The following is a 20,268-nucleotide window of genomic DNA, read 5'->3' as shown; positions in this document are numbered from 1 at the left end:
GCTCACAGTTCCGGAGGCTGGAAGTCCAAGATCAAGGAGGTGGCAGGCCGGCCAGGTGCAGGGGCTCATGCCTATAATCCCAGCACTTTGGGAGGCCAAGGCAGGAGGATCACCTGAGGTCAAGAGTTTGAGATCAGCCTGGCCAACATGTTGAAACGCTGTCTCGACTAAAAATACAAAAAAAAAAAATTAGCCGGATGTGGTGGCAGGCACCTGTAATTCCAGCTAACCAGGAGGCTGAAGCAGGAGAATTGCTTGAGCTTGGGAAGCGGAGGTTGCAGTGAGCCGAAATCCTACCACTGCACTCCAGCCTGGGCAACAGAGTGAGACTCTGCCTCAAAAAACAAAAAAGGTAAAAAGGAGGTGGCAGGGCTGGTTTATTCTTTCTCAAGAGGGGATCTGCTCAGGCCTCTCTCAGGCCTGGTGCTTGGTTGGTATCTTAGGCATTCCTTGGTTTGTAGCTGCGGTTCTCCCTGTCTTCACATAGTCTTCCCTCTGTGTCTGTCTGTCTCTGTATCCAAATGCCGCCCCACACTTTTTTTTTATTTTTTTGAGACAGAGTCTCTCTCTGTCACTCAGGCTGGAGTGCAGTGGCACGATCTCAGCTCACTGCAACCTCCGCCTCCCGGGTTCAAGCGAGTCTCCTGCCTCAGCCTCCCAAGTAGCTGGGACTACAGGCGTGCACCACCACGCCCAGCTAATTTTTGTATTTTTAGTAGAGACAGGGATTCACCATATTGGTCAGGCTGGTCTTGAACTCCTGACCTCGTGATCCGCCCTCAGCGGCCTCCCAAAGTGCTGGGATTACAGGCATGAGCCACCACACCCAGCCCAAACTCCCCCCTTTTATGATGACACTGATGACGTTAGATTAGGAGCCTCCCAGATAACGTCATTTTAACTTGCTCGTCTGCAAAGACCCTCTCTCCAAATAAGGTCACAGTCACAGGGACTGGGTAGTTAGGACTCAAACGTCTTTTTTGAGAGACATAATTCGACCCATAAGAGGAGGCATGGCATGGTGATGTCCACTGAAGTGTCCATTTTTATGACAATTAGGAAGCATTTTCCAACTGGACATGGTGGCCCACAACCATAATCCTAGCACTTTGGGAGGCTGAGGTATGAGGATTGCTTGAGGCCAGGAGTTCAAGACCAGCCTGGGCAACATAGCAAGGCCTCATCTCTACTAAAAATTTAAAAATAGGCCAGGTGTGGTGGCTCATGCCTGTAATTCCAGCACTTTGGGAGGCCGAGGCAGGTGGATCGCCTGAGGTCAGGAGTTCAAGGCTACAGTGAGCTATCACTGCATCACTACACTCCAGCCTGGGCAGAGTGAGACCCTGTCTCAAAAGTAAAAAATAGCCAGGTGTGGTGGCTCACGCCTGTAATCCCAGCACTGTGGGAGGCTGAGGTGGGAGGATTACTTGAGGTCAGGAGTTTGAGACGAGCCTGGCCAATGTGGTGAAACCATGTCTCTACTAAAAACACAAAAATCAGCTGGATGTGGTGGTGCGCACCTGTAGTCCCAGCTACTCGGGAGGCTGAGGCAGGAGAATCACTTGAACCCGGGAGGCAGAGGTTGCAGTGAGCTGAGATCGCACCACTGCATTCCAGCCTGGGCAACAGAGCAAGACTTTGTCTCAAAAATAAAAAATACAAAAAGGAAGCATTCTCCCTGCCTGCTTCCCTTTCCCACCCAGTGCATTAAAACATTTGCACAGTGCTGACGAGAGTTGCCTCCTTACCTTAGTGCTCAGATGCAGACTCTGGCCAGGAGGGGAGGTTCCTCTATGTACCAATTTTACGAACTTTAGGAAAATTCTCCCTAGATGCAACTAAATATTTGTCTCTAAGCTTCAGGCTTTCACCTTGCATCTGAGGGTTTGTTTGCGCATCACTCTGGAAAGAGAACTGGAGAGACACAGATAAAAGAGAGGTAGAAAAATACCATGAGGCAGCAACTACCCATCCCCAGTTTGAGACTCCAAGGGGCACGGTTGAATTTTATTTTCTGCTATGCCAGTTCACTAATTCAGTCAACAAAATACAGTGAACGGCACAAACAAGGTCCTTGTTCTTGAGGAACAAGTGAACCCATGGAAGTCCCTCAGTTCTCCCACAAACCTCTCTTGGCTTCTGTTCCTGGCAACCAAGTGCACTGTCACAATGACAGTGATTGTTATAGGGGAAAAAAAAATTAGAAAATCCAGAGAAGGAGATAACAAAATGGAGATCTCCTGATTTCTCACTGCTTAGAGTCAAATGCTGTTTACATTAGCTATGTTTTCTTCTAGAAATTTCCACATGAAAACAATTTTTTTTTTTTTACAAATCAGCCTTCCTATATATAGACTGCTCTGTAACTTCTTTTTTCTTTTACTTCTTTTTTTATTTTGTTTTGTTTTTTGAGATGGAGTCTTGCTCTGTCACCCAGGCGGGAGTGCAGTGGCACAATCTCGGCTCACTGCAACCCCCGCCTCCCAGGTTCAAGCAATTCTCCTGCCTCAGCCTCCCTAGTAGCTGGTACTACAGGTGCGCACCACCATGCCTTGCTAATTTTTGTATTTTTAGTAGAGATGGGGTTTCACCATACTGATCAGGCTGGTCTCGAACTCCTGACCTTGTGATCCACCCGCCTCAGCCTCCCAAAGTGCTGGGATTACAGGCGTGAGCCACCGTGCCTGGCCCATTTTTTTTTTTTTTTTTTTTTTTTTTTTGAGACAAAGTCTCACCCTGTCTCCCAGGCTGGAATGCAATGGCGCGATCTCTGCTCACTGCCACCTCTGCCTCTCAGGTTCAAGCAATTCTCGTGCCTCAGCCTCCTGAGTAGCTGGAACTACAGGCATGCGCCACCACGCCCAGCTAATTTTTGAATTTTTAGTAGAGACCAGGTTTCATCACGTTCACCAGGCTGGTCTCGAACTCCTGACTTCAGGTAATTCTCCTGCCTTGGCCTCCCGAAGTACTGGGATTATAGGCATCAGCCAGCGCACCTGGCCCCTGCTTTTTTCATCTAATAATAGAAGGACATTATGCCATAAGTATAGTTAACTTATCTGCACCCAACTGTATATATAGAAAGAGAAACAGAAATTTAATAGTGCAAGTAAGCTGTATAAAAGAGAATGAGGATGCCTTGGATGTTGCCCACATCACCCAGTGTGAAATAGTCTCCAAGGTTTATTGTTAAGTAAGAAAGCAAGATATAGAATAGTGTGCATGAATGCTACCATTTGTGTAAAAGGAGCGGGGAACAGAATCTGTATATAAATTTGCTGCACCAAATATTTCCAATTCTCCTCCTGGGCACATGGTAGGATTCTATTTCCCTGCCCCCGAAGTTAGCTGTGCCCGTGCGACTTGCCTTGGCCTATGAAGTGCGGGCAGAAGTATCTTTCCAGGCAGAAGCTTGTGAGAGACAGGGTGTGGTTCTCCCATGCTCTGTCTTTTCCCTCCTCCATGGGCACTGGCATATTTCAGGTCATAGCTGCTCTGCTGGCCTGAGTCCCAGGCAGATCAGCCAGGGCCCCAGAGTAAGGATGATGCCAAATAGGGGCTCCACCAGCCGCAGATGCACATGTAGCACGAATGAGAAATAAACTCTTGTTGCTTTAACAACCAGGGCTTTGGGGCTACTTGTTACTGCAGCCTAGCATAGCCCATTCTGGCTGACAGGGTTGCTTATGGAGAGGGGAACTGGATGGCTGGGGCTTTTTACTTCTAAATGCCCTTTTGCACTTCTGGATTTTTGTATCGGCAAGTGTACTCTCTACTGTTTTGTTTTGTTTTTTAGACAGGGTGTTGCTCTATTGCAGAGGCTGGAGTGCAGTGGTGCAATCTCAGCTCACTGCAGCCTTGATTCCCCAAGTGATCCTCAGCCTCCTGACTAGCTGGGATTACAGGTGCCCACCACCAGGCCCCCAGCTAATTTTTGTATTTTTACTAGAGACGGGGTTTCGCCACATTGGCCAGGCTGGTCTCGAACTCCTGACCTCAGATAATCTGCCCACCTCGGCCTCCCAAAGTGCTGGGATTACAGGCATGAGCCACCATGCCTGGCCCTACTTTTTTTTTTTAATAGAATTTTTAAATTCTGCAGCAGGAGAATCGCTTGAACTCAGGAGGAGGAGGTTGCAGTGAGCCAAGATCGCTGAGATCGCCAAGATCGTGCCACTGCACTCCAGCCTGGCTGGCAGAGTGAGACTCTGCCTAATAAATAAATAAATTAATTAATTAATTAATTAACAGAAAAGAAAGAAAAAAGAATTTAAAAAAATATAAATGTAGAGATGGGAATCTGGCTATGCTGACCAGGCTAGTCTTGAACTCCTGACCTCGAGCGATCCTCCCACCTCAGCCTCCCACAGCGTAGATTTAAATGCAAATGGTGCAGACTTTGCCTGCCATTCCCCTCACTAAGCATATGCCAAGACACGTGAGAGAGATGGGCGACTGGAGTCTCATTCCTCTCCCTCAGAGGGTGATTAGCTTCCCACTCTGAATCGGAACTCCAGTGCTTCAGTGTATGTATTTTCATTCCTCATGGATGCCACATGCCAGCCAACGGATTCATTTGTGTTCAACAAGAGAAGAGCAATCTGCTCCACACCCACTGTGTGCAGGGCGGGCAAGTCAAGGATAAGATCTGACATGAGCATTCTGCCTTCAGTGTTCGCCTTTGTCACCTAACACTCGCTCAACTGGCAACCCGACTGTGCCAATAAATGCAGCCTCTCAGCAGCTATTCTTAACCCGCATTTGAAGGGTGGGCTTGTGAATGTCTCAAATCTATGCCAGATGTTGTGTGCATGCTTTTTCATTTCACTTTTCTTGACTTTATATTTTGAAATAATTTCAAATGTACAGAACAGTTACAAGAATAAGTCAAAGAACTTCTGTGTCATTTTCACCAACTCACCATTTGTTACCATTATATGACATCATTGTATGGTTTTCTTTCCATATAAATATTCATCTCGGCTGGGCACGGTGGCTCATACCTGTAATCCCAACACTTTGAGAGGCCGAGATGGGTGGATTGCTTAAGCTCAGGAGTTTGACATCAGCCTGGGCAACATGGTGAAACCTCATCTCTACCAAAACAACAACAACAACAACAAAACAACAACAACAACAACAAAATATATATATATATATATGCACACAAAAAATTAGCTGGGCATGCTGGCATGCACCTGTAGTTCCAGCTACTCAGGAGGCTGAGGCGGGAGGATCGCTTGAGCCCAGGAGGTAGAGGTTGCAGTCAGCCAAGATCACACCACTGCACTCCAGCCTGGGCCACAAAGCCAGAACCTGTCTCATAAAAAAAAAAAAAAAAAAAATGCCGGACATGGTGGCTCATGTCTGTAATCCCAGCACTTTGGGAGGCTGAGGCAGGTGGATCACCTAAGGTCAGGAGTTTGAGACCAGCCTGGCCAACATAATGAAACCCCGTCTCCACTAAAAATACAAAAAATTAGCTGGGCGTGGTGGCAGGCGCCTGTAATCCCAGCTACTCGGTAGGCTGAGGCAGGAGACTTGCTTGAACCCAGGAGGCAGAGGTTGCAGTGAGCCAAGATCGTGCCATTGCACCACAGCCTGGGCAACAAGAGCAAAACTCCATCAAAAAAAAGAAAGAAAAAAAAAAGCCAGGTGCAGTGGCTCACCCCTGTAATCCCAGCATTTTGGGAGGCCGAGGCGGGCAGATCACGAGGTCAGGAGATCAAGACCATCCCGGTTAACATGGTGAAACCCCGTCTCTACTAAAAATACAAAAATTAGCCAGGCGTGGTGGTGGGTGCCTGTAATCCCAGCTACTCAGGAGGCTGAGGCGGGAGAATCGCTTGAACCTGGGAGGCGGAAGTTGCAGTGAGCCGAGATCGTGCCATTGCACTCCAGCCTGGGTTACAGAGCGAGACACCTTCTAAAAAAAAGAAAAAAATCGTGTTTTTTTTTTTTGGAGATATTTGGGAGTAAGTTGCACCTATCACATCCCTTTACCCCTAGAGGCCATTCTGAAGAACAAGGCCACTCTCTTACACATCCACAGCATAATTATCACACTCAAGAATTTAGCATTGACCAAGTCCATGTTTGAATTGCATCAAGCGTCCTGCTACTGTCTTTCAGAGCAGCTTTCAGTTTGTGACACTCCAGGATTGGGTGTTGCATGCAGCTATTGTGCTTCTTGAGGTGGCTTCTTTTTTTTTTTTTTTTTTTTGAGACAGAGTCTCGCTCTGTTGCCCAGGCTGGAGTGCAGTGGTGCGATCTCAGCTCACTGCAAGCTCCGCCTCCTGGGTTCACGCCATTCTCCTGCCTCAGCCTTCCAAGTAGCTGGGACTACACGTGCCCGCCACCAAGCCTGGCTGATTTTTTTCTATTTTCAGTAGAGACGGGGTTTCCCCATGTTAGCCAGGATGGTCTCGATCTCCTGACCTTGTGATCCGCCCGCCTCGGCCTCCCAAAGTGCTGGGATTACAGGCATGAGCCACTGCGCCCGGCTGAGGTGGCTTCACTCTGAAACAGTTACTCAGTCTTTGTCTTTCTTTTCTATTTTTATTTTTTATTATTGCACACAATTCACGCAGAGATTAAGGAGATGTTTTTTTTAAGAGAAGGGGTCTCACTATGTTGCCCAGGCTAGAACTCCTGGGCTCAAGTGATCCTCCTGCCTCAGCCTCCCAAAGTGCTGGGATTACAGGTGGCAGCCACCACGCCCAGCCCAGTCTTTGCCTTTTTTAATGCTGATTTTTTAAAGAATCCAGGTAGGCCATTTTATAGAATATGCCTTGCATTTAGGCGCATCTGATGTTTCCTCATGATTAGATCTGGGTTACATGTGTGAGACAGGAAAACCACAGAAGGGATGCCAGAGTCTCAGCGCTTTGGCTGAAGGAAGCCCATGCTCTCATGCTTCCTGAAGTTCATGTGCTCAGAGCTCATATGCTCTGAGTGCACTCCACCAAGGCTGGAGTGCAGTGGCACCAACGAGACTCACTGCAGCCTTGGCCTTCTGAGCACAAGGGATCCTCTCACCTCAGCCTCCTGAATAGCTGGGATTACAGGTGCACACCAACATGCCTGGCTAATTTTTAAGCTTTTTTTTTAATAGAGATGGGGGTCTCATTGTGTTGCCCAGGCTGGTCTTAAACTCCTGGGCTCAAGCCATCCTCCTGCCTCAGCCTCCCAAAGTGCTGGGATTACAGGTGGGAGCCACTGCACCTGGCCAACAACAGAAGTCTATTTCTTCACAGTTCTGGAGGCTGGAAGTCCAAGATCAAGGTATCAACTACCCAAAGTGCTTGGATTACAGGCATGAGCCACCACACTTAGCCTGATGCTATGTAGTTATCTTTTTTCTCCTCAAACTTTCACATGCTGCTTTGGCCTCCACTGATGATTCTCTTGGCTGAATCAATTTTTTTTTATTTTTTTTTCGAGATGGAGCCTTGCTCTGTCATTCAGCCTGGAGTACAGCAGTGTGATCTCGGCTCACTGCAACCTCTACCTTGCGGAGTCAAGCGATTCTCCTGCCTCAGCCTCCCGAGTAGCTGGGATTATGTGCCACCATGCCCAGCTAATTTTTGTATTTTTAGTAGAGACGGGGTTTCACCATGTTAGTCAGGCTGCTCTCAAACTCCTGGCCTCATGATCTGCCCACTTCAGCCTCCCAAAGTGCTAGGATTACAGGTGTGAGCCACCATGCCCGGCCTTGGCTGAATCAGGCATTACAACGATGTTTGAATATTGGAAGTCTTCAAAGCATCTGAATATCACTCTCCAAAAGTTGAACAGCAATCTTCAGATGATAATTTTCCAAACTCATTATTCTTCTCACATGTATTCGTTAGCATTTGTACTTGCTTTTTTCAGGGAAATGGATCCAGTACTTTCATCAGATTCTTCGAGACACCAGTGATTCAAAAAACAACAAAACCTCCCTCATTTTCAGTGGCTATAGCATATTCTGTTGTATGGATGCAGCATAATTTTTTCCCAGTTCCTACTGCTACAGGATCTTTGGGGTGTAGATTTTCTTCCCCGCTGGAAACCTCTGTTGCCAATGATGCCTTTGCCTGAGTTCTTGTCCTGAGTCCAGGAAGAATGAGGTACGCAGACAAGTGAAGGGTGAAGAAGACAAGGATGAGCTTGATTTAGTGTTACAACCGCTCAGAGGACCCACAGTGGGTAGCTCCTCTCTGTAGGCAGGTCATCTGTTGAGTGTTCAGTTATCAGCAGACAGGAGGTTCTGGAGAGGGTAGCTCCTCCCTACAACTGGTCATCCTAATGTCTGCAATTCTTAGCAGAGAGGAGGCCCTGGTGGGGGTGGCTCCTCTCTGCCAGCAGGTAGTCTGCAGGTAGCTCTTCTCTGCCACTGGTAGTCCAATCCTCTCTCCTCCCTCTTCCTTCTCTGGCTGTCCCCTGCCCTGCTCTGGCTGAGCCCAGAGCTTTTATGGGCCTCAGAGGGAAGGAAGTCCATGCTGATTGGTCCATGGGTAGCCATGGGCAGCCCAGAAGAGGCACCGCGTGTCCCCACTCTGGTCCTCAGGACTGATAGCCCAGCCCCCAGCCTTCAGGCCCTCCTTAGGACTGCCCCCTTCTGCCCAGGCCTCCTACTGCCATTCACAGCCCCGGGGCTCTGCCCTAACCACTGATCTGAGATGGGAGCAGGAGCCAGGAGCGGTGAGAAGCCAGGCAGTGGGAACAGGCACCCCTGAGACTGAAGGGATGGGGGGCCCTTCCTGGGGCCCCCAAGGGTGCAGGCTGCAGAGACTCTTGAGTCCCATGCCTGGGAGGGCAGTTGCCACTGCACCCAGAAGCTCCCACCCCACCAATTCAGAAGGGGCAGGGCTCCCACTTGTCCCAGCTCCTGCCTGCTCTGTGGAGCTGGAGGCCCAGATTTGCAGTACCGGGTCTGGTGGCTGCAGCTGCACCCAGGAGGACAGATCCTGCCCGTTCCTGGCACCACCCCCCTCACCCCCAAGAGCACAGGGAGGCTCAGATCCACAGCCACAGTTTGGGTGACTGCAGTGACACCTGGGGAGCTCTGCCCCAACTCAGAAGGGGCGGGGCTCCCCCGGCTCCATGAAACGTGCAGCCCCAGCTGCACCTCCCTGCTGCAGCCAGCATGATAGCAGCAGCCCCTGCCATCACTACCAATAGATGTTTGGGTTTTCCCTAGTTTTTACTACTCTAAACAATACTTGAGGAACATCTTTTTGCACAACACTTGGTGCATTCCTTTAATTTTTTCTTTTTTCTTTTTTCTTTTTTTTTTTTTTTTTGAGATGGAGTCTTGCTCTGTCGCCCAGGCTGGAGTGCAGTGGTGCAATCTTGGCTCACTGCAACCTCCGACTCCCTGGTTCAAGCGATTCTCCTGCCTCAGCCTCCCAAGTAGCTGGGACTACAGGCACTGCCACCACATCCAGCTAATTTTTGTACTTTTGGTAGAGACAGGGTTTCGCCATGTTGGCCAGGCTGCTCTCAATCCCCTGACCTTGTGATCTGCCCGCCTTGGCCTCCCGAAGTGCTGGGATTACAGGTGTGAGCCACCGCGCCTGGCCACTCCCTCAATCCACCTTGGCCTCCCGAAGTGCTGAGATTACAGGTGTGAGCCACCGCGCCTGGCCACTCCCTCAACCCGCCTTGGCCTCCCACAGTGCTGGGATTACAGGTGTGAGCCACCGCGCCCGGCCACTCCCTCCATTTTCTTTAGGATGAGCTCTCAGGAGATGAGTGGCAGGTGTATTTTGAAGACTTTTGCTAGACAATGCCAACTACGACTCAGAGGGCCTGTGCCAAGTCCATGTATGTGAAAATGTCCGTGTGCTCCCACCCTCCCCAGCACTGGGCATTTTTCTGTTTAAGCTTGGTGTGCGTCACCAGTGTTGGTTGTACAGTCATTACAAGAAATTCCTAGTGCACTCAAGAAGTCTCTGCCTTGTGCTCAGGGATTTGCGAAGCAGGATTGGCCCCGGGTAATGCATTTAATTACTGCTGTGTCTGTCACTAGAGGGAGCACCCGATCCACTTAAGGGCCTATTTTTGCATTGATCAGGGCCTCTCCCACCCAGGAGAGTTCCAAGTTCAGCTCCAGAGGCACAGAGGAAAGTAGTTTTTGTCAATTACCTACCCCAGCGTGTGCAGACCCCTCAAGCTGGGAAGGTCACAAGTGTCTGCTCAGAAGTACTCAGGAACTAAGGAGCAGAGAACCTGCTACCAACCACAGACTAGCAGACACAGAAACTCAGGAAAGGATGCTCAACCTCACTGGGAAGAAAGGAGATGCAAATAAAAGATGGGACACCTTGACTTGCCCATGATGTGGAATCTTTTGAAGACTGCTCATCGTCAGGCTCACTCCTGTGAGGGGACTTTGACACTGGCAGTTTCCTCTGCCTGGAATGGCTTTTCTCTGGATTCCCACAAAACTTGCTCTCTTACTTCCTTTAATTTTTTTTTTTTTTTAAACAAAGTCTCGCTCTGTCACCCAGGCTAAAGTGCAGTGTCATGATCTCGGCTCACCACCACCTCCACCTCCGCTTCCTGGGTTCAAGTGATTCTCCTGCCTCAGCCTCCCAAGTAGCTGGGACTACAGGCACGAATCACCACACCCTACTGATTTTTGTATTTTTATTAAAGACGAGGTTTCACCATGTTGGCCAGGCTGGTCTCAAACTCCTGACTTCAAGTGATCCACCCACTTCAGCTCCCCAAAGTGCTGGGATCTGGGTTTACAGGCATGAGCCACTGTGCCCGGCCGCTTCATTTGAATCTTTATTCAGATGTTACCTTCTCAATTAGTTCTACCATATTTAAAACTGTCCCCCTTGGCCAGGCGCAGTGGCTCACACCTGTAATCCCAGTACTTTGGGAGGCCAAGGCAGGCGGATCACGAGGTCAGGAGTTCGAGACCAGCCTGGACAAGATGGTGAAAGCCCGTCTCTACTAACCACACAAAAAATTAGCCAGGTGTGGTGGCGTACACCTGTAATCCCAGCTACTTGGGAGGCTGAGGCAGGAGAACTGCTTGAACCTGGGAGGCAGAGGTTGCAGTGAGCCGAGATCACGCCATTGCACCCCAGCCTGGGCAACAGGGTGAGACTCTGTCTCAAAAAAAGAAAACTCTACCCCCACACCAGGTATGGTGGCTCACGCCTGTAATCCCAGCACTTTGGGAGGCCGAGGTGGGAGGATCTCGAGGTCAGGAGGTCAAGACCAGCCTGGCCAACATAGTAAAACCCCATCTCTACTAAAAATACAGAAATTAGCTGGGCATGGTGGTGCGCACCTGTAGTCCCAGCTACTTGGGAGGCTGAGACAGGAGAACTGCTTGATTCTCCTGGGAGAATCTCTGCCTGGGAAGCAGAGGTTGCAGTGAGCCGAGATGGCGCCACTGCACTCCAGCCTGGGCAACAGAGCAAGACTCCGTCAAAAAAAAAAAAAAAAAAAACTGTCCCCCTCACAACATTCCTGAACCTCCTTAGCCTACACTAATATTTACAGCAATTAATATCTTTATTCTATTTTTCAGACAGGGTCTCACTATGCTACCCAGGCTGGAGTGCCATGGCGTGATCATGGCTCACTGCAGCCTCAACCTCCTGGGCTCAAGCAATCCTTCTGCCTCAACCCTCCTAAGTAGCTAGGACTATAGGCATGTGCCACCACTCCTGGCTAATTTTTAATTTTTTTGTAGAGACAGGGTCCCACTATGTTGCCCAGGCTGATCTCAAACTCTTGAGCTCAAGTGATCCTCCTGCCTTAGCCTCCCAAAGTGCTAGGACTGCAGGCATGAGCCACTGTGCATTGCCAATATCTTTTAATACTACCAACTTGACTTACCTATTAGCCCAGGACTTCCCCAGTGTGAGCATGCAAAGGCCTGCATCCTGGGCTGCCACTCAGTCCCAGGAAGACTTTTAGTCTCCCCGCTGGAATGGAAGCCCCAGGAGGGCAGGGATTTTGTTTCCTATCTTGTTCTCGGATGTGTCCCAAGCACCCAGAACAGTGCCCGGTGTATATCTGGTGCTAAAGAAATACGGGTTAAACGAGTAAGTCACATCTTGGGAATCCAAATAAGGAGAACCCTGCCAAGGGCCACTGGGCAGAATGGCAAGCACGCATTCTCTTTGATCTTGAAAGTTCCCCTAAGACTTTGTCCTTCGGAAATGTTCACGGCTGTACCCAAAGATGAACAGATGAAGGAGGATGCTCACAGCAGTGTCTAGCCATGCGCTGGGCTCAGCCTTGATGCCCATCAGTCAGAGAGTACGATGAAACTACAGTGGGATCTTTGACCTTTTCTGTTGTTTTTTGAGAGTTTTTGTTTTTGTTTTGCGACAGGGTCTTCCTGTGTCACCCAGGTTGGAGTGCAGTGGTGTGAACACAGCTCACCGCAGCCTCAACCTCCTCAGCTCAAGTGTTTCTCCCACGTCAGCCTCCCGAGGAGCTGGGACTACAGGTATACACCACCAAGCCTGGCTAACTTTTTTTTTTATTATTTTTATTTTGGCTGGGTGCGGTGGCTCACGCTTATAATCCCAGCACTTTGGGAGGCCGAGGCAGGCGGACCATCTGAGGTCAGGAGTTTGAGACCAGCCTGGCCAACATGGTGAAACACTGTCTCTACTAAAAATACAAAAATTAGCTGGGCGTGGTGGCGCGTGCCTATAATCCCTGTTACTTGGGAGGCTGAGGCAGGAGAAGTGCTTGAACCTGGGAGGTGGAGGTTGCAGTGAACCGAGATCACGCCATTGCCCTCCAGCCTGGGCAACAGGGTGAGACTCTCTCTCTCAAAAAAAATTAATTTCTTATTTTTTTATAGAGACAGGGTTGCCCTATGTTGCCCAGGCTGGTCTTGAACTCTTGGGTTCAAATGATCTTCTCTCTGAGGCCTCCCAAAGTACTAGGATTACAAGCATGAGCCACTGCACCTGCTCTATACTGTGATTGTATTGAGTGACACTTGCTGTGCAGCAGTTTAATTGAAGGCTACTGATCGATGTGGACGGGAAGGGCTGCGGAGAGAAGTGTGGATGTGGAGGGTAGGAGGGGAAGGAGGGCTAGAGCAGCACCTCCAGCCTTCATTTCCCATGCCTCAGTAACTGTGGATTTCCCTCCAAACACCTATTTCTTTTGTAATTTAATACAGATGGACAGAAATGAAGATTAATTTCTGAAACCAGAATTCAAGCCAAAGGGACAATTTAGGTTTCACTGAACAAAAGTAAATTCTTTTGAGATAGAGTCTCACTCTGCTGCCCAGGCTGGAGTGCAGTGGCGTGATCTCGGCTCACTGCAACCTCCGCCTCCCAGATTAAAGCAAGTCTCCTGCCTCAGCCTCCTGAATAGCTGGGATCACAGGCATGCACCACCGTGCCCGGCTAATTTTTGTATTTTTGGTAGAAATGCGGTTTCACCTTGTTGGCCAGGCTGGTCTTGAACTCCTGACCTCAGGTGATCCACCCGCCTAGGCCTCCCAAAGTGCTGGGATTACAGGCATGAGCCACCACGCCCGGCCCTGAACAAAAGCGAGTTCATGGGTTACTAGTACTTAGCAAAGAAAGGGTGCCCCTTCCCAATCCCATCCTCTGACAATTCCTGTCTCCCAAAGGATTTGGAAGGCTGCCTATCACTAGACCACCTTCTGATTAGTTCTCACATCTGCTCCCTTCCCTCCACCCCTTTCCCAGACGGTCGCCACCCTCGCCAAGCCACAGTCCACTTGCTGCTGGATTTTCTGCTTCCAATCTGGACCCTCCAGTCCAGTCTCTACCAGCAGCCCTGAGCTACAGTCCCAATATGAGCACCAAATCCAGTCACCCCTCTGCCCAAAACTCTTCAATAGGCCAGGCGCGGTGGCTCATGCCTGTAATCCCAGCACTGTGGGAGACTGAGGCAGGCGGATCACGAGGTCAGGAGATCGAGACCATCCTGGCTAACATGGTGAAACCGCGTCTCTACTAAAAATACAAAAAATTAGCCGGGCGTGGTGGTGGGCGCCTGTAGTTCCAACTACTCAGGAGGCTGAGGCAGGAGAATGGCGTGAACCCGGGAGGCAGAGCTGGCAGTGAGCCGAGATCACGCCACTGCACTCTAGCCTGGGCGACAGAGCGAGACTCCATCTCAAAAAAAAAAAAGAAAAAAAAAGAAAAAAAAAAAAACCTCTTCAATAGCTCCCTAGAGCTCACGCACACTCTTCACGGTGGCCTTCTGGAGTCTGCAGAGCCTAGCCCTTCCCGGCCACCTCTCCCAACTTGGAACACTGTCCCTCAGATCTCTCTCTCTCTCTTTCTCCCATCCCTATGACTTTCTTTGAGTTTCCCCCATCACAGTAACTTTTTAAATTCTTACCAAAAAAAAAAAAAAAAAAGGCTTAGGCCAGGTGCAGTGGCTCATACCTGTAATCCCAGCACTTTGGGAGGCTGAGGCAGATGGATTGCTTGAGGCCAGGAGTTTGAGACCAGAGTGGGCAGCAGGGAGAAAACCAATCTCTATAAAAAGCACAAAAATTAGCCTGGTGTGTTGGTGCACCCTTGTAGTCCCAGCTACTCGGGAGGCTGAGGTGTGAGGATTGCTTGAGCCTGGGAGGTGGAGGCTGCAGTGAGATGAGATCATGCCACTGCACTACAGCCTGGGTGACAGAGTAAGACCCTGTCTCCAAAAAAAAAAAAAAAAAAAAAAGATAAAAAGCTTAATTGAGATGTAATTCATGTATCATAGAATTCACCCATATAAACTACATAAATCAATGGTTTTTAGTATATATCCACAAAGTTTTGCGACCATCATCACAATTTTAATTGTTTATATTTCAATAGTTTTGGGGGTACAGGTGGTGTTTGGTTACATGGATAAGTTCTTTGGTGGTGATTTTTGACATTCTGGTGCTTCCATCACCTGAGCAGTGTACACTGTATCCAGTATGTAGCCTTTTATCCCTCACCCCCTCCCAATCTTACCCTCCAGTCCCCGAAGTCCATTGTATCTTTTTTTTTTTTTTTTTTTTTGAGATGGAATCTTGCTCTGTGGCCCAGGCTGGAGTGCAGTGGCACAATCTCGGCTCACTGCAACCTCCATCTCTCGAGTTAAGGTGATTCTCCTGCCTCAGCCTCCTGAGTAGCTGGGATTACAGGTGCCCACCAACATGTATGGCTAATTTTTGTATTTTTAGTAGAGATGGGGTTTCACCATGTTGGCCAGGCCAGTCTCAAACTCTTGACCACAAGTGATCTGCCTGCCTTGGCCTCCCAAAGTGTTGGGATTACTACAGGCGTGAGCCACAATGGCTGGCCCCATTGTACCATTCTTATGTCTTTCCATCCTCATAGCTTAGCTCCCACTTATAAGTGAGAACATAGGGTATTTGATTTTCCATTCCTGAGTTAATTCACTTAAAATAATGGCCTTCAGGACTGGGCGCAGTGGCTCACGCCTGTAATCCCAGCACTTTGGGAGGCCGAGGCGGGCGAATCACGAGGTCAGGAGTTCGAGACCAGCCTGGCGAACATGGTGAAACCCCGTCTCTACTAAAAATGCAAAAAATTAGCTGGGCTTGGTGTTGGGCGCCTGTAATCCCAGCTACTCGGGAGGCTGAGGCAGGAGAATCGCTTGAAGCCAGGAGGCGGAGGTTGCAGTAAGCTGAGATCACACCACTGCACTCCAGCCCAGGTGACAGTGCGAGATTCAGTCTAAAAAAAAAAAAAAGAATAATGGCCATCCAAGTTGCTGAGAATGCCATTATTTCATTCTGTTTTCTGTTTTATGGCTGAGTAGTATTCCATGGTGTATATATACCATATTTTCTGTATCCACTCATTGGGTGATGATGGGCATTTAGGTTGGTTCCGTATTTTTGCAATTGCAAATTGTGCTTCTATAAACATGCATGTGTATGTGTCTTTTGCATATGATTTCTTTTCCTCTGGGTAGATACCCAGTAGTGGGATTGCTGGATCGAATGGTAGATCTACTTTCAGTTCTTTAAGGAATCTCCACACTGGTTTCCATAGTGGTTGTACTAGTTTACATTCCCACCAACAGTGTAAAAGTGTTCCCTTTTTACCACATCCATGCCAACATCTATTTTTTTTTTTTTTTAATTATGGCCATTCTTGCAGGAGTAAGGTATTATCTCATTGTGGTTTTAATTTGCATTTCCCTGATAATGAGTGATGCTGAGCAGTTTTCATATGTTTGTTGGCTGTTTGCAATATCTTCTTTTGAAAGAATTGTCCATTCATGTCCTTTGCCTACTTTTTCATTGGATCATTTTTTTTCTTGCTGATTTGTTAGAGCTCCTTGTAAATTCTGGATATTAGTCCTTTGTCAGATGTATAGCTTGCAAATATTAAAATAATGGCAAAAACCTCGATTTATTTTGCACCAACCTTAATATAAGGTGAGCGATGAGGATCCAGTTTCATTTTTCTACATGTGGCTTGCCAGTTTCCCCAGCACCATTTATCGGGTAGGGTGTCCTTTCCCCATTTTATGTTTTTGTATGCTTTGTTGAAGATCAGTTGATTATTGTGGCATGAGAGCAGAGGAAAAACATGGTTAACAGAGAGTATTCCCTACCTACCACAACATGTAGTTCCTTCTAAAATACCATGTTTTCCTTATTTATTATGTTTCATTTTTGGTTCTGTCTTCCTCAACTACAGTAAGCCCTTTGTCTATCTGTTATCTGATGCATCCCAAGGACAAAGATCTTTGTCTATCTGATCTCTGATAAATCCCAAGCACCCAGATTGGTGCCTGGCACATAGTAGGTGCTCAATAAATATTGGTTGAATGTATAACATCTTCAGTCTGTCTGGCGCCCTGCTAGGGACTGAGGACAAGATCCCTGCTCTGCTGGGGCTAATCTTCTAGTTGGGAAGAGTCAAACACACAATCAGGCAAATAATTGCAAATCCTGATAGATCATGAAGTTCAAAGAGGATGAAGCAAAGAGAGCATGGGAGGGGAGGAAAGAGGAGAGAAGCTGCCGTGAAGGGGTGACGAGTTAGGGTAAACCTAGGAGATGAGAAGAAGGAAAGGGGAAAAGCACGACCGGCACAGAGAACTGCCTGTCCAACTGTCCTCAGGGTAAAAAGCTTGGCGTATTCCAGGAACAAACAGAAAAAGGCAAGGAAGCCTCAGGAGATGGTGCAAGGGCTTATGGGTTTTTGGGGAGTCTGGGGCTTATGCAAAATGTAGTGGGGAGGAGGACTCTTGAGTTTTCAGCTGGGGTGGGGCACGTGGGATATGTGTAAAGCAGGGAGCAAACTATAGCTCAGGGGCCTACTTTGGCCACTGCCTGTTTTTGGAAACACACCCATTAGTTTTCTTAGGAGCTACAAGGGCAGAGTTTAGTGAGTTGGACCAGAGACCAATGGACCACAGCATTGGAAAACCTTTTTGGAAAAGGTCTGCCTTCCCGGTTTTCAGGTGATTATTTAGGGTACAGGTGATCCCTCCCGCTCCCTCACCCCAAGTCCAATCTATACCAGTTGCTGTTGACATCATCTCATCACTTCCCCCATTCCTAATGCCACCAATCCTGCTTGGAGCCACCATCATCCCACCTGAACAAAGGTAATCACCTCCTCATTGGCCTCCCTGTTTCTGTTCATAAGTCTGAAGGAGTCATTCTCTGCTCAAAGCCACCAATGGCTCCCCATTGCTCAAAAAACAGACATACTTTTCACCATGGCCTAGGAGGCCCACCAGCAGCCCCTCACCTCTCCCACCTCAGAGCCCTCTACTTGCTCTGCCTCACTCCAATCCAGCCTCGCTGGCCTCCTAATGTTCCCTAAAAGCACCAAGCACAATCTTCTTGACACCTGCTGTTCCCTTTGCTCAAAATGCTTTTCCCATAGACCTTCCAACAGCCCAAATGACCTTTCCTCAGACAGATTCTCCCTGCCCAGCCAAGGTAAAATGGCAGCCCCATCCCTCCCTCTCAAACCTCCCCCTCCCACTAATTGTTCCTGTCTTTATCACTTGCTGATTGTTCTTCAGTCTTTATCACTTGCTGACATGATGGTATAGACTTACTTGCTATCTGGCTCCCGCACCAGGATGTAAGATCCATGAAAGTCGAGGCTTTGTCCCTTTTATTCTCTGCTGTATCCCATAGCATCCTGACAGCTAGAGTGTAGACACTAATAAAGAAGAACAAATGTATTGAATAAATGCAGGTATCCAGAGGGGATCATAATAATTAATAATATCCACCCATTATGGTTGTTACAAGGATTAAATGACATCAAGCATGTAAAGAAACTAGAACAGGGTCTGGCACACAGCAAATAATACATAATAACCATTAGTATTATCATCATTATTGTTATGTCTTTTGGGTGGATTTTTAAGATCAAGACGAATTTAGCCACTAGCTTTGCCTTGTCCCAGCTGGGGAACCCCGAGCAAGTCACTTTACCTCCTGCTCCTTCAGCTTCCTTGTCTGTTAATTGGGTTGGAATCCTCCACACCCAGCAGGCTAAAATTGAAGATCAGCAAAATGCTTATCGGCAAAATGGGATGACGTTGACTCTAAGCAGGACTGGTGGCATAGCGGATGGGGGGACGTGATGAGATTCAGTAGATGACGTCAACAGGAACTGGTATAGATTGGACCTGGGGTGAGGGAGCAGGAAGGGATCACCTGAAGCCATTTCTCCACAAACTAGTTATGATGATGACTTTTTATGCTGTAGCTGTTTCTTCAGTTGTTTTGGGTTTGTTTGTTTTGTACATATTGGTGGGGGTCTCTCACTATGTTGCCCAGGCTGGTCTTGAACTCCTGGGCTCAAGTGATCGACCTACCTTGGCCTCCCAAAGTGCTGGGATTATGGGCGTAGTCACTGTACCCGACCATGTAGGTTTTGTTTTTTGGTTTTTTTTTTTTTTTTGCTTTTTTGTTTTTTGAGACAGGGTCTTGCTCTGTTGCCCAGGCTGGGGTGCAGTGGCGAGATCTCAGTTCACTGCAACCTCCACATCCCGGCTTTAACCGATTCTCCCATCTCAGCCTCACGAGTAGCTGGGATTACAGGGCTGCATCAACACACCTGGCTAATTTTTGTATTTTTAGTACAGATGGGGTTTCACCATGTTGGCCAGGCTGGTCTCAAACTCCTGACCTCAGGTGATCTGCCAGCTTCAGCCTCCCAAAGTGCTGGGATTACAGGCGTGAGCTACCACGCCTGGCCTTGGCCATGTAGATTTCTTTCACACCTTCCTTATTCCTTCTTCAGAAGCTGAGGCCCCATGAGGGGAAGCTGGTAGCCAGGGGTCTTTTCAGGTACCTGTGGCCAAATTAGGCCCAGATGTTAATGCTCTCATCCATGGCTGAAAAAGGCCAAGAAACTAAGAAGAGCTGTGGACGCACAGACTGGCAGAGACACCGAGAGGGCACTGCGACCGCACTGCACAGATGAGCAAAGGAAGGCCAACTTCAGCATTCCCTCCTCCTCTCTAAGCCCCTCCAAAAGGCCTGCTCAGGGAGCTCTGGCCACCGTTCTCAAGCAATTGCCTGACGTTTTTACTGACACTGAGGGCTGGAGATGGTCCCTTTTCCAGGCAGCTATGTGTCCATTTCCTAGAGAGGGAAACTGAGTCCCAGAGAAGGCGGGTGTGGCTGGAGGCCATGGGTCAGTCATAGGCATAACCATGCCGTGAATAACCGTCTTGGCACTCTCTGACTTCTTTCCCTGGCAATACAACGGATCCCAGTGCCCATTTGTCACATAAGGAAACTGAGGCTGGCGTCTTCGATGAAGCCTGGCAGGAGTGGGGGTCACACACGGAGTGCAAGGCTGTCCAAGCCTTCAAGGTCATTCTGACTGATCTTTGAGCCTTAGCAATACAGGACGTGGGTCCAAGAGCATTTCCAGCACAAAATGGCGCCTCATAGAAAAATGTAGTCGGAGTTCCAGCGCCCACCTCCACCACGGCTCAAAGGAGGGGGCGCGGGCGGCAGCGCACACTTCATTTGCATATACAAAAATCAACGGATTTCGTTGGCTGGCAGCGGTTTGATCTGCACGAAACTGGGTCGCCCTCTGACCGGTCTCTATCAGTCATTGGCCCATGCGAGTCTCGTGACCCACCAGTCACTAAAGCGCATCCCTATTGGCCCGAGCGCCTTCCATCACGCGTTTAAAACCCCGAGTCCCGCCTCCCCTCGCCACGCTCCGGCCCCCAGGAAGACCGTTAGTCGCGTGCGCGACTTCCTCAGCGTCAGGGCGCGCCCGCGCGTATGCCGGGCCGTGGCGG

At 48.8% G+C, this 20,268-nt stretch overlaps 1 long non-coding RNA gene across 1 annotated transcript, besides 5 other annotated features; it reads right to left on the bottom strand.

The window, feature by feature from the left end:
- Window positions 1-1,637: 1,637 nt before the first annotated feature.
- Window positions 1,638-20,221, bottom strand: LOC105372462 (uncharacterized). The gene is made up of 3 exons (XR_936075.3): window positions 18,434-20,221; window positions 18,049-18,155; window positions 1,638-1,914 (listed from the first exon to the last, which is right to left on the bottom strand). It is a non-coding gene; the product is annotated as an uncharacterized LOC105372462 (long non-coding RNA).
- Window positions 8,148-8,348: a silencer, noted in NCBI's record as "peak3567 fragment used in MPRA reporter construct". NCBI's record gives its function as "represses an SCP1 promoter by STARR-seq MPRAs in K562 erythroleukemia cells {active_cell/tissue: K562}" and the evidence as "EXISTENCE:reporter gene assay evidence [ECO:0000049][PMID:32103011]".
- Window positions 8,685-9,254: an enhancer, noted in NCBI's record as "H3K4me1 hESC enhancer chr19:55930479-55931048 (GRCh37/hg19 assembly coordinates)". NCBI's record gives its function as "activates a minimal SCP1, AML or CMV promoter by ChIP-STARR-seq in primed H9 embryonic stem cells {active_cell/tissue: H9 hESC(primed)}" and the evidence as "EXISTENCE:reporter gene assay evidence [ECO:0000049][PMID:30033119]".
- Window positions 9,810-9,939: an enhancer, noted in NCBI's record as "active region_15096". NCBI's record gives its function as "activates an Ori minimal core promoter by ATAC-STARR-seq in GM12878 lymphoblastoid cells {active_cell/tissue: GM12878}" and the evidence as "EXISTENCE:reporter gene assay evidence [ECO:0000049][PMID:35858748]".
- Window positions 19,820-19,929: an enhancer, noted in NCBI's record as "active region_15095". NCBI's record gives its function as "activates an Ori minimal core promoter by ATAC-STARR-seq in GM12878 lymphoblastoid cells {active_cell/tissue: GM12878}" and the evidence as "EXISTENCE:reporter gene assay evidence [ECO:0000049][PMID:35858748]".
- Window positions 19,951-20,245: an enhancer, noted in NCBI's record as "tiled region #8373; HepG2 Activating non-DNase unmatched - State 1:Tss, and K562 Activating DNase unmatched - State 1:Tss". NCBI's record gives its function as "activates a minimal TATA promoter and a strong SV40 promoter by Sharpr-MPRA in HepG2 and K562 cells {active_cell/tissue: HepG2 | K562}" and the evidence as "EXISTENCE:reporter gene assay evidence [ECO:0000049][PMID:27701403]".

The sequence above is a fragment of the Homo sapiens genome, chromosome 19, assembly GCF_000001405.40.
Source record: "Homo sapiens chromosome 19, GRCh38.p14 Primary Assembly".
Classification (NCBI taxonomy): Eukaryota; Metazoa; Chordata; class Mammalia; order Primates; family Hominidae; genus Homo; species Homo sapiens.
Note: the sequence above shows the minus strand (reverse complement) of the source record. Positions and strands in the feature narration are given on the sequence as shown.